At 39.4% G+C, this 12564-nt stretch overlaps 1 protein-coding gene across 35 annotated transcripts in view; it reads left to right on the top strand.

The window, feature by feature from the left end:
- RIC3 (RIC3 acetylcholine receptor chaperone) overlaps positions 1–12564 on the top strand; it is a 76061-nt gene that overhangs the window by 19619 nt on the left and 43878 nt on the right. For 28 of the 35 annotated variants that reach the window (XR_001747957.3, XR_007062500.1, XR_428851.5 and 25 more), the window contains 3 exons: positions 9214–9440; positions 11060–11135; positions 11936–12029. The exons of 2 other annotated variants lie outside the window; for them this stretch is intronic. Coding sequence is in view for 12 of the 33 variants with exons in the window: in NM_001346691.2 (NP_001333620.1) it covers positions 9214–9440; positions 11060–11135; positions 11936–12029 (397 nt within the window). In the remaining 21 variants the exon portion in view is untranslated. Of the gene's footprint in view, positions 1–9213; positions 9441–11059; positions 11136–11935; positions 12030–12564 lie in introns of those variants that run through there. 5 more of the 35 variants (XR_007062502.1, XR_001747959.3, XM_047427585.1 and 2 more) reach the window with 2 other exon arrangements.

The following is a 12564-nucleotide window of genomic DNA, read 5'->3' as shown; positions in this document are numbered from 1 at the left end:
TTATCTCTTCTTACTTCCCTAAATGGAGCCAAACTAATTTGGTAGTAAGTCCTACTTAATGGTTTCTTTGTTCTCAATCTCATATACACAGTCTTCTTTCCTCCTGGTGTGCTTTTGCTTCTCTCCTATTCTTTCATTCCCTTCAGTAATTGACTCCATTTGCCTCCTGTTTTTTTTATTATTTTTTATTATATTATTTATTTATTTATTTTTGAGACAAGAGTCTCGCTCTGTCACCCAGGCTGGAGTGCAGTGGTGCGATCTTGGCACACTGCAAGCTCCGCCTCCCGGATTCATGTCATTCTCCTGCCTCAGCCTCCCGAATAGCTGGGACTACAGGTGCCCGCCACCATACCCGGCTAATTTTTTTTTTTTTTTTTTTGTATTTTTAGTAGAGACAGGGTGTCACCGTGTTAGCCAGGATGGTCTTGATCTCCTGACCTCGTGATCTGCCCGCCTAAGCCTCCCAAAGTGCTGGGATTACAGGTGTGAGCCACTGCGCCCAGCCAACTCCTCTTTTTTTTAAAGAAAGATTTTGCATCTTTTCAAAACTTGAATATTTAGTTTATCTAGTAAAAAGGTCCTTGATACCCTGCTGCTGCTGCTGCTGCTGTTATTTATGTCTTTGTTTTAGATATTCTGGTTTTGAAGGCATTGTTCCATGTGGGAACTATTGTTTCTATTACCTTTATCGCTCTCTTCTTTTCTTGCATATGGCAGAATCTTGAACATAATAGGATCCTAAAATTTTCCTGGCTGACAGATCTATAAAAGTTTTGGGGGAGATGTGTAATGTCATTCTTAAATTTTAGAGATGCAAAATAATGCTTTTCTGTAATTACCTGTTTTTAATTTTTAATTTTTTTGTTTTATGCCAGATTTGAAGATAGTATTCTCAACACAGTAAGGTGAAGTTCCACAACATAATACTACAAATATTAGATCCAGTTTATTGAACATTAGCCACCTGATAGATTCTCTCAAGAGAAAAGTTAGCTTCCTGAATGCTGGCTAGGCATGCTTTTGAAGGTGCATAATAGCCAAAGCCAGTACTCATCATTTAATTTACTAAGATCCTTGAAAATTTAAAAGGGGCATAGTCACCAGCATCCAGAATAAAGGGTGGTGACATGGTGATTTCCTTTTACTGTCTAAAGCTGTGCTTCTGTTGCTGACCCAGTCTCTAAAAGAAGCATTTCTTTTCAAAATTTTCCATATCATTTAAAGTCAATACTGAGAGGAAAAGGAGTATCACTGGAGTGGAGCTTGGCTGAGAAAGGATACAAGGCAGAAGGCAACTTCCAAGCCTACCTGCCCACCTACCTTCTTTCTTACCTCAGGAGCAGAGTTGACTTTGAGAACTAAATTCTGATTTTTTAAGTCTTACCCAAATTCGGCTCATGCCTGTAATCCCAGCACTTTGGGAGACCAAGGGGGGCAGATCATGAGGTCAGGAGATAAGACCATCCTGGCCAACATGGTGAAACCCCATTTCTACTAAAAACACAAAAATTAGTTGGGCGTGGTGGCACATGCCTGTAATCCCAGCTACTTGGGAGGCTGAGGCAGGAGAATCACTTGAACCAGGGAGTCGGAGGTTGCAATGAGCCGAGATCGCGCCACTGCACTCCAGCCTGGTGACAGAGCAAGACTCCCTCTCAAAAAAAAAAAAAAAAAAAAAATCTTACGCAAGTTCTACCTAACAGGCCTAGGGAGGCACACCCTACAAACAGTGAAGTCTCATCAGAGGGGTTTTATTTCACCCCATATAATCTAGCCTGCTTTCCCACCTGACTCTGGCATAACTTCACATAACAAATAAGAAAAGAAATAAAAATATTTTAACTCCAAATATATTTCTTTGCCGTATCTTGAAATTGCCCTGCAAGGTTGTCTCTTGTGGGAAAGATCCACATTCTATAGAGAATCTCCTTTCCACCCACTTTTTTTTTTCTTTCTTTCTTTCCAGACCCAGGAGACAATCAACTAAGGTACCCTTTTAAGTCTGATAAGTGTGAACACCCAAAATTTGAGACAGATCTCAGTTAATTTAGAACGTTTATTTTGCCAAGGTTCAGGACATACGCCCATGACACGGCCTCAAGAAGTCCTGACGACATGTGCCCAGGGTGGTCAGGGCACAGCTTAGTTTTATACATTTTAGGGAGACATGAGACATCAATCAATATGTGTAAGAAGTACATTGGTTTGGTCTGGAAAGGCGGGATAACTTAAAGCAAAGGCAGGAAGACTCAAAGTGGTGAAGGGGCTTCCAGGTCACAGATAGGTGAGAGAGGAATGGTTGCATTCTTTTGAATTTCTGATTAGCCTTTCCAAAGGAGGCAATCAGATATGCATCTGTCTCAGTGAGCAGGAAGATGACTTTGAATAAAAATGGGAGGCAGATTTGCCAGGACCAATTCCCCACCTTGAAGGGGCCCATGATATTTTCCTTTCATGTAAGAAACATTTTACAATCTACTCCCTCAGAAGTCTGCTATCTGAGAGCTTCCTTTACACAGTAAAATTGAAAAACCTGGTCGCCAGGACCCTTTATCTTAATCTAAACATTTCCTGTCTGTTGATCCCAGGTCTTTAGATAAACTCAACCAATTGTCAACCAGAAAATTTTAAAATCTACCTGTAGGCTAGAAGCACCCCGCCCCCTGCCACCCCGCCCCGCCTTTCAAATTATCCTGCCTTTCTGGACCAAACCAATGTATTTGATTGAAGTCTCATGTCTCTCTAAAATGTGTAAAACCAAGCTGCACCCTAACCGCCTTGGGTACGTGTTCTCAGGACCTCCTGAGGGCTGTGTCATGTGCCATGGTCACTTATATTTGGCTCAGAATAAATCTCTTGAAATGTTTTAGTTTGACTCTTCATCGACAACTTAAAGGCAGTTCTCAGTTCATAGCATTTTATTAACTTTGTTAGTGCAAGTTTACTTTCTTGTTTTATTCTTTTAGTTCTTTATCCTCAACCCACATTCCAGTTCCCTTTCCTATTCATATGCACCTACTCTGATGTGTTTATGTTTATGTCTTTATATCCACATATTTGCTTGAAAGATTAATATCGTTATGTGTGTGTTTTCAACCTGCATAATGTTATTTGCTTTTTCTTAACCTAACGGTATGTTTTTAAAGATGTATTCATGTTGCTGTAGGTATGTCTAAAGTGTGGTTTCCAAAGCTATGTAGAATTCCATATTAGTATTCACTCCATTTTGATTTTCCATTCTTCCAGTTAAGGAAATCAGAGTTAACTTCAAACTCCCTACTACACTATTGTCACAGCAAACATTCTTACATAGGTCTATAAAGTCTGTAGTTCACATATATATAACCTTATTTGAGATTTTCTGTGGGATTTATTCACCAGAGTGGGATCATTGGATCATAGGGTGTGTACATATGTAATATCACGAAGTACAGCCAGATCACTAGGCAGAATATCTGTATCACTTACCCACAGTGCATGAGGATTCATGCCTCTCCACATCTTTGTCAATTTTGTTCAAGTCAAATCCAACAATTTTTTTATTTCTATTTTTAGAGTGTTATTTATTTAGAGTGTTATTTATGCTCTCTAGTATTTTCTGTTCTATAATGTTATCTCCTGGTGGTTTTTCATACATGCCTGTTTATTTGGCCATTTGAGATTCCTTTCTGGTAGTTGGTGTTAACTTTTGACTGCTCTTGATGGAGAAAAAAAAAATGCAAGAAAATTGATGTAACACCTCCCCCTGCCTCTGCCCCTCCCCACAAGCCCTGCTCTTCCACTCACAAGATCCCCTTTTTCAAGAGTCCCTTTTTCACCCTGTTTGTGCTATATCCATCCTGTCTGTTCAGCTATAGCTGATTGGAAAGAGATGTATACCTACCCAAGCTGAGTACTTAAAGTCCTCCTCCAAGGAATTTGAAATTAGGATGTCTCAGCTAGCCTGTTGAAGAACATGCAAATTGAGGGGCTGGGGCGACCATCTTCCCCTGTGTGCACAAAGGAGCTAGAGAAATGGTCTGCAGAGAAAGAATAAAGAAGATGTGCACAGAAAAACAAAGAAAAAACCTTATGGCCCCATAGAGAAGGAGAGAGATTGAGCTAGAATGTGAAAGTACCTGTCCTGGATCCTGATGGCTTTCCAGTTTCTAGTTCTCTTTTCTCCTGAGACCACATTGTATTTTCTTTCTTTTTTTTTTTTAATTTTTTTTTAATTTTTTTTTATTATACTTTAAGTTTTAGGGTACATGTGCACATTGTGCAGGTTAGTTACATATGTATACATGTGCCATGCTGGTGCGCTGCACCCACTAACTCGTCATCTAGCATTAGGTATATCTCCCAATGCTATCCCTCCCCCCTCCCCCCACCCCACCACAGTCCCCAGAGTGTGATATTCCCCTTCCTGTGTCCATGTGATCTCATTGTTCAATTCCCACCTATGAGTGAGAATATGCGGTGTTTGGTTTTTTGTTCTTGCGATAGTTTACTGAGAATGATGATTTCCAATTTCATCCATGTCCCTACAAAGGACATGAACTCTTCATTTTTTATGGCTGCATAGTATTCCATGGTATATATGTGCCACATTTTCTTAATCTAGTCTATCATTGTTGGACATTTGGGTTGGTTCCAAGTCTTTGCTATTGTGAATAATGCCGCAATAAACATACGTGTGCATGTGTCTTTATAGCAGCATAATTTATAGTCCTTTGGGTATATACCCAGTAATGGGATGGCTAGGTCAAATGGTATTTCTAGTTCTAGATCCCTGAGGAATCACCACACTGACTTCCACAATGGTTGAACTAGTTTACAGTCCCACCAACAGTGTAAAAGTGTTCCTATTTCTCCACATCCTCTCCAGCACCTGTTGTTTCCTGACTTTTTAATGATTGCCATTCTAACTGGTGTGAGATGGTATCTCATTGTGGTTTTGATTTGCATTTCTCTGATGGCCAGTGATGATGAGCATTTTTTCATGTGTTTTTTGGCTGCATAAATGTCTTCTTTTGAGAAGTGTCTGTTCATGTCCTTCACCCACTTTTTGATGGGGTTGTTTGTTTTTTTCTTGTAAATTTGTTTGAGTTCATCGTAGATTCTGGATATTAGCCCTTTGTCAGATGAGTAGGTTGCGAAAATTTTCTCCCATTTTGTAGGTTGCCTGTTCACTCTGATGGTAGTTTCTTTTGCTGTGCAGAAGCTCTTTAGTTTCATTAGATCCCATTTGACAATTTTGTCTTTTGTTGCCATCGCTTTTGGTGTTCTGGACATGAAGTCCTTGCCCATGCCTGTGTCCTGAATGGTAATGCCTAGGTTTTCTTCTAGGGTTTTTATGGTTTTAGGTCTAAGGTTTAAGGCTTTAATCCATCTTGAATTGATTTTTGTATAAGGTGTAAGGAAGGGATCCAGTTTCAGCTTTCTACATATGGCTAGCCAGTTATCCCAGCACCATTTATTAAATAGGGAATCCTTTCCCCATTGCTTGTTTTTCTCAGGTTTGTCAAAGGTCTGATCGTTGTAGATATGCGGCGTTATTTCTGAGGGCTCTGTTCTGTTCCATTGATCTATATCTCTGTTTTGGTACCAGTACCATGCTGTTTTGGTTACTGTAGCCTTGTAGTATAGTTTGAAGTCAGGTAGCATGATGCCTCCAGCTTTGTTCTTTTGGCTTAGGATTGCCTTGGCGATGCGGGCTCTTTTTTGGTTCCATATGAACTTTAAAGTAGTTTTTTCCAATTCTGTGAAGAAAGTCATTGGTAGCTTTATGGGGATGGCATTGAATCTGTAAATTACCTTGGGCAGTATGGCCATTTTCACGATACTGATTCTTCCTACCCATGAGCATGGAATGTTCTTCCGTTTGTTTGTATCCTCTTTTATTTCCTTGAGCAGTGGTTTGTAGTTCTCCTTGAAGAGGTCCTTCACATCCCTTGTAAGTTGGATTCCTAGGTATTTTATTCTCTTTGAAGCAATTGTGAATGGGAGTTCACTCATGATTTGACTCTCTGTTTGTCTGTTATTGGTGTATAAGAATGCTTGTGATTTTTGTACATTGATTTTGTATCCTGAGACTTTGCTGAAGTTGCTTATCAGCTTAAGGAGATTTTGGGCTGAGACAATGGGGTTTTCTAGATATACAGTCATGTCGTCTGCAAACAGAGACAATTTGACTTCCTCTTTTCCTAATTGAATACCCTTTATTTCCTTCTCCTGCCTAATTGCCCTGGCCAGAACTTCCAACACTATGTTGAATAGGAGTGGTGAGAGAGGGCATCCCTGTCTTGTGCCAGTTTTCAAAGGGAATGCTTCCAGTTTTTGCCCATTCAGTATGATATTGGCTATGGGTTTGTCATAGATAGATCTTATTATTTTGAAATACGTCCCATCAATACCTAATTTATTGAGAGTTTTTAGCATGAAGGGTTGTTGAATTTTGTCAAAGGCTTTTTCTGCATCTATTGAGATAATCCTGTGGTTTTTGTCTTTGGCTCTGTTTATATGCTGGATTACATTTATTGATTTGCGTATATTGAACCAGCCTTGCATCCCAGGGATGAAGCCCACTTGATCATGGTGGATAAGCTTTTTGATGTGCTGCTGGATTCGTTTTGCCAGTATTTTATTGAGGATTTTTGCATCAATGTTCATCAAGGATATTGGTCTAAAATTCTCTTTTTTGGTTGTGTCTCTGCCCGGCTTTGGTATCAGAATGATGCTGGCCTCATAAAATGAGTTAGGGAGGATTCCCTCTTTTTCTATTGATTGGAGTAGTTTCAGAAGGAATGGTACCAGTTCCTCCTTGTACCTCTGATAGAATTCGGCTGTGAATCCATCTGGTCCTGGACTCTTTTTGGTTGGTAAACTATTGATTATTGCCACAATTTCAGCTCCTGTTACTGGTCTATTCAGAGATTCAACTTCTTCCTGGTTTAGTCTTGGGAGAGTGTATGTGTTGAGGAATTTATCCATTTCTTCTAGATTTTCTAGTTTTTTTGCGTAGAGGTGTTTGTAGTATTCTCTGATGGTAGTTTGTATTTCTGTGGGATAGGTGGTGATATCCCCTTTATCATTTTTTATTGTGTCTATTTGATTCTTCTCTCTTTTTTTCTTTATTAGTGTTGCTAGCGGTCTATCAATTTTGTTGATCCTTTCAAAAAACCAGCTCCTGGATTCATTAATTTTTTGAAGGGTTTTTTGTGTCTCTATTTCCTTCAGTTCTGCTCTGATTTTAGTTATTTCTTGCCTTCTGCTAGCTTTTGAATGTGTTTGCTCTTGCTTTTCTAGTTCTTTTAATTGTGATGTTAGGGTGTCAATTTTGGATCTTTCCTGCTTTCTCCTGTGGGCATTTAGTGCTATAAATTTCCCTCTACACACTGCTTTGAATGCGTCCCAGAGATTCTGGTATGTTGTGTCTTTGTTCTCGTTGGTTTCAAAGAACATCTTTATTTCTGCCTTCGTTTCGTTATGTATCCAGTAGTCATTCAGGAGCAGGTTGTTCAGTTTCCATGTAGTTGAGCGGTTTTGAGTGAGATTCTTAATCCTGAGTTCTAGTTTGATTGCACTGTGGTCTGAGAGAGTTTGTTATAATCTCTGTTCTTTTACATTTGCTGAGGAGAGCTTTACTTCCAAGTATGTGGTCAATTTTGGAATAGTTGTGGTGTGGTGCTGAAAAAAATGTATATTCTGTTGATTTGGGGTGGAGAGTTCTGTAGGTGTCTATTAGGTCCACTTGGTGCAGAGCTGAGTTCAATTCCTGGGTATCCTTGTTGACTTTCTGTCTCGTTGATCTGTCTAATGTTGACAGTGGGGTGTTAAAGTCTCCCATTATTAATGTGTGGGAGTCTAAGTCTCTTTGTAGGTCACTCAGGACTTGCTTTATGAATCTGGGTGCTCCTGTATTGGGTGCATATATATTTAGGATAGTTAGCTCCTCTTGTTGAATTGATCCTTTACCATTATGTAATGGCCTTCTTTGTCTCTTTTGATCTTGTTGGTTTAAAGTCTGTTTTATCAGAAACTAGGACTGCAACCCCTGCCTTTTTTTATTTTCCATTTGCTTGGTAGATCTTCCTCCATCCTTTTATTTTGAGCCTATGTGTGTCTCTGCACGTGAGATGGGTTTCCTGAATACAGCACACTGTTGGGTCTTGACTTTATCCAATTTGCCAGTCTGTGTATTTTAATTGGAGCATTTAGTCCATTTACATTTAAAGTTAGTATTGTTATGTGTGAATTTGATCCTGTCATTATGATGTTAGCTGGTGATTTTGCTCGTTAGTTGATGCAGTTTCTTCCTAGTCTCGATGGTCTTTACATTTTGGCATGATTTTGCAGCGGCTGGTACCGGTTGTTCCTTTCCATGTTTAGCGCTTCCTTCAGGAGCTCTTTTAGGGCAGGCCTGGTGGTGACAAAATCTCTCAGCATTTGCTTGTCTGTAAAGTATTTTATTTCTCCTTCACTTATGAAGCTTAGTTTGGCTGGATATGAAATTCTGGGTTGAAAATTCTTTTCTTTAAGAATGTTGAATATTGGCCCCCACTCTCTTCTGGCTTGTAGGGTTTCTGCCGAGAGATCCGCTGTTAGTCTGTATTTTCTTATCTGTATTAGTTAGGGGTGGCTAACTGCTGTAACAAATAGATTCCACAGTGTATAATGACCCTAACACAATAGAAGTTGATTTCTCACTCTTACAGACAGGTCCAGATGACTCTAAGTTAGTGAGGTGGCAGCAGTGGAGGGCTCTGCACTACATAATTATTTAGGAATCAGGTTGATGGAGGCTTTGCTGTTTCTACCCGTGGCTTCCAAGGTCCCCGTGGGTGTTAGCATCCATGCTGCAGAAAAGAAATGATCACGGAGTTGAATAACAAGGGAGATTTTATAGACCAGGCCTTGAGCTAGCACAGTCCTAGTCACATTCCTTGGTTGGAACTCAGTTTATATGGCCACATTTAACTGTATGGGAGTCTGAAAAATGTGGTCCAGCTAAGGACCCAGAGGGAAGAGAAAATGGGTTTGGTGAACAGCTAGAGATGATCACATCATATTTAGGATATGTGTGATACCTCTGTATCCTTTTAATTAAGTTGCCATTTTTTTCTTCTACTTGTTTGTGTTGGCCTCTTTTATACCTTAATGATTTGGTGTTTTCATGATAGCCATCTTTAAAATAGTAGAAGAGATAAAAAGTGATTATTATTTTCTCAGGAAAATTGGGCCGATTTCCACCTATGATGCATCATCACCAGGCACCCTCAGATGGCCAGACTCCTGGGGCTCGTTTCCAGAGGTCTCACCTTGCCGAGGCATTTGCAAAGGCCAAAGGATCAGGTGGAGGTGCTGGAGGAGGAGGTAGTGGAAGAGGTCTGATGGGGCAGATTATTCCAATCTACGGTTTTGGGATTTTTTTATATATACTGTACATTCTATTTAAGGTAAGTAGAATCATCCTAATCATATTACATCAATGAAAATCTAATATGGCAATAAAAATCATTGTCTACATTAAAACTTCTTATAGTTCATAAAATTATTTCAAATCCATCATCTCTTTAAATCCTGCCTCCTCTTCATGAGGTACTTAGGATAGCCATTATTTCAGTTTCACATAAGAAATGTTTACTCAATGTTTAAGTGTTTTGCCCCAAAATTCACAACTAACAAGGCAGAACTAGGACTTGAACATGGATCTTTTGGTTCTTAATCCAGTGAGTGATACAATTCAATGCACTCCCCTGCCAAAAAAAAAAAAAAAAAAAAAAAAATTAACATCTTTACAGGCCGAAAAGGAATAAAGATTTTCTAAGAAGAGCTTTTATTATTGGGATTGGCACAGTGATTTCCAAATAGCCATTGTAAGGCCAAATAATGACACCACTTTATCCTGCTTGTTTCTCCACAGGAATTTGAGATGCTGTTTTTAATATTATCTCCAATAATTCTCCTGAGACAGAACTGTCCCTCCTGAAATTAAGCCTGATATTTCCTAGCTCTGGGGAGACATGGGTGTAGGTTCTTTAAAGCAGACCCCCAGTTGAGTTCCACCTCCAGGCAGGCCTTTGCAGGCCCCTGGCCCCTGTACTGTGAATTAGAGGCAGAAGACTCACTTTGCCCTCCTGTCTAGAGTAAGCTTAAATAAGATGAGTTCTTTCTCGCCCAGGAATTCTGCAGGCAGTCTGAGTTGAGTCTGTAAGAATGCCCATAGGGTGCCACACATCCCTTTTAGATGAGCATGAGCAAGGAAGATGACCTGTAGGGAGATTTTTTTTCCCTTGTGTTAGAAATGCTTGTTCTCTGGTGCCATAAAGAAGCAGCACTTGGACGTACATTTAATTTCCTCAGCAAGGCCATTTTTACTTTCTGCAGAAAGGGTACACTCACCAGCGGTTTTGCCGTGAGAGTACACCGAACAAAGGAGACAGGGTCATTTATAACCTGACGCATCCACCTTACTGCTGTGTCCGGTTTCCATTGGCTGGAACGGGACCTCACATTCTGTATTTGTGCTGATTGGCTAGCGACTTAGAACTTTTTAAAAGAGGCAAAGGCAGAGGAGAACAAAGGAAGGAGGAACTAACTTGTGGAATGCTGAGAAAGGTAAAAACACCTTCATATAAGGAAGAGGAACAGGCTATGACCTCATGCTTGCTTTGACAAGTATAAGCATGCCAGGGCAAATATTTAGGCTAAACTGTGGGAGCTAAGAACAGTTGATTTCTTTATTATGGCTAGCAGATATCTAAGCATGTTAGCACAGGTTCTTGAATAAATTTTGCTTCTAAGAGAAGTTACTATTCCTAATTATATGGGGAGTAAAGTCTCTTTGAAGAGGAATCTCTACTTTACTTTTTACACTTGTGCTTTGATAATTTTTTACTTGGAAACCTCATCTTTTGGCGTTTTTTTTTTTGAGCTATTTCTCTAGTGTTGCTATTTGATTTAATTTCTGACCTTCATTTTTGTTTCCCAACCTTTTTTTTTTGTTTGATATGAGGGGTTCCGTGACTGAGGTTCTGAGCTGCTGTTGATGTGCTATACCTCCTTCAATTCTCAGCTCTCAAAGGGGAAAACAACTGCAGAGGATGGGAAATGCTATACTGCCATGCCTGGAAACACCCACAGGAAAATTAGTAAGTGCCCCTTCTCAGTATATTCACAGGTATTATTGAGTCAAACAGTTTTATAGCCACAGGGACAGTCTGTGGGTATGTCTTAAAAGCATTTCTCAAAAGTTGCTCCAAATTAATCTGATGCCATTTTTGCCTTAGTTCTGGGAATTCTCAAAAGTTTTTATATTGATGTACTACAAAAAGTACAAAACCACCAGTTCACTTTTTAATATATTAGCAAATTAATATTTCACGTTTGGAATGACTTCTCATTTTCAGACTTCAAAATATTGGTAGCAGAGAGCAAAATGGAGGCAGAGAAATCATATCATTGCCAAAATCAGTTTTTAGATCTAGGGAAAGAGTTTAACACTTCTGACTGTTGAAACATGGCCATCAGATACTTATTATACAACTAGAATATTCTGTGTTCTCTAGGGAAATTAAATTTATACAACATGGCTCTTTCCTCAAGAATTTATAGACTAGAATGTATGTCAGGAAAAATAACCTATGAAAAATTTACCACCCGCAAGTAAGAGACTTGGCAAAAGCATTGCAGGAAATCATGTTTATCTGGGCTGTAACTGCTTTTTGGATTTACTTCTGGATTTTCTATGGAACTAAATATCCCAGTCACACTTTGCATCCTTTTTGGAAATCTTAAATATTCACAGAATCCTTTAATAAAACTGCGGTGTTCTTCAATGAGATAGTAATGGGAAGTTAGACAGTACAATAGCTTTTTAAAAATTTGTGGTCTCTTTAACAGGTTTAGGGAGTTGTCTCTGATGGTTCTTAGATTGTTGCTTATTTTTTAGCCAGTTTTGAGCTTGCTCAACTGCAAGAAAAACTGAAGGAGACAGAAGCAGCCATGGAAAAATTAATCAACAGAGTGGGACCTAATGGTGAGAGGTAGGTTTTCATGTAACGGGACTCAGACTATTTCTCATTTAGAAAATAAATTCAGGCTGGGTGCAGTGGCCGAGGCCTCTAATCCCAGCACTTTGGGAGGCCGAGGTGGGTGGATCATCTGAGGTCAGGAGTTTGAGACCATCCTGACCAACATGATGAAACCCTGTCTCTACTAAAAATACAAAATTAGCCAGGTGTGGTGGTGCACACCTGCAATCCCAGCTACTCGGGAGGCTGAGGCAGGAGAATCGCTTGAACCTGGGAGGCGGAGGTTGCAGTGAGCCAAGATTGTGCCCTTGCACTCCAGCCTGGGCAATGAGAGCGAAATTCTATCTCAAAAAAAGAAAAGGAAAGAAAATTCAAAATTATGCTTTTTTTTTGATAAATAGACCACTTATTTTCATTTTATGTACTGTCAGTTTTTAAATTGTAAATATGTCATTTACGTATTCTTTATCATTTAACATTTTTCATTCACATACTGTCAAGCAACCTCAGTTTTCAAAAGTTTAATGTGCAAATTATTGTGAAAGTG

This window comes from Homo sapiens, chromosome 11 (genome assembly GCF_000001405.40).
Source record: "Homo sapiens chromosome 11, GRCh38.p14 Primary Assembly".
Classification (NCBI taxonomy): Eukaryota; Metazoa; Chordata; class Mammalia; order Primates; family Hominidae; genus Homo; species Homo sapiens.
This window is presented reverse-complemented; position numbering and strand designations above follow the sequence as displayed.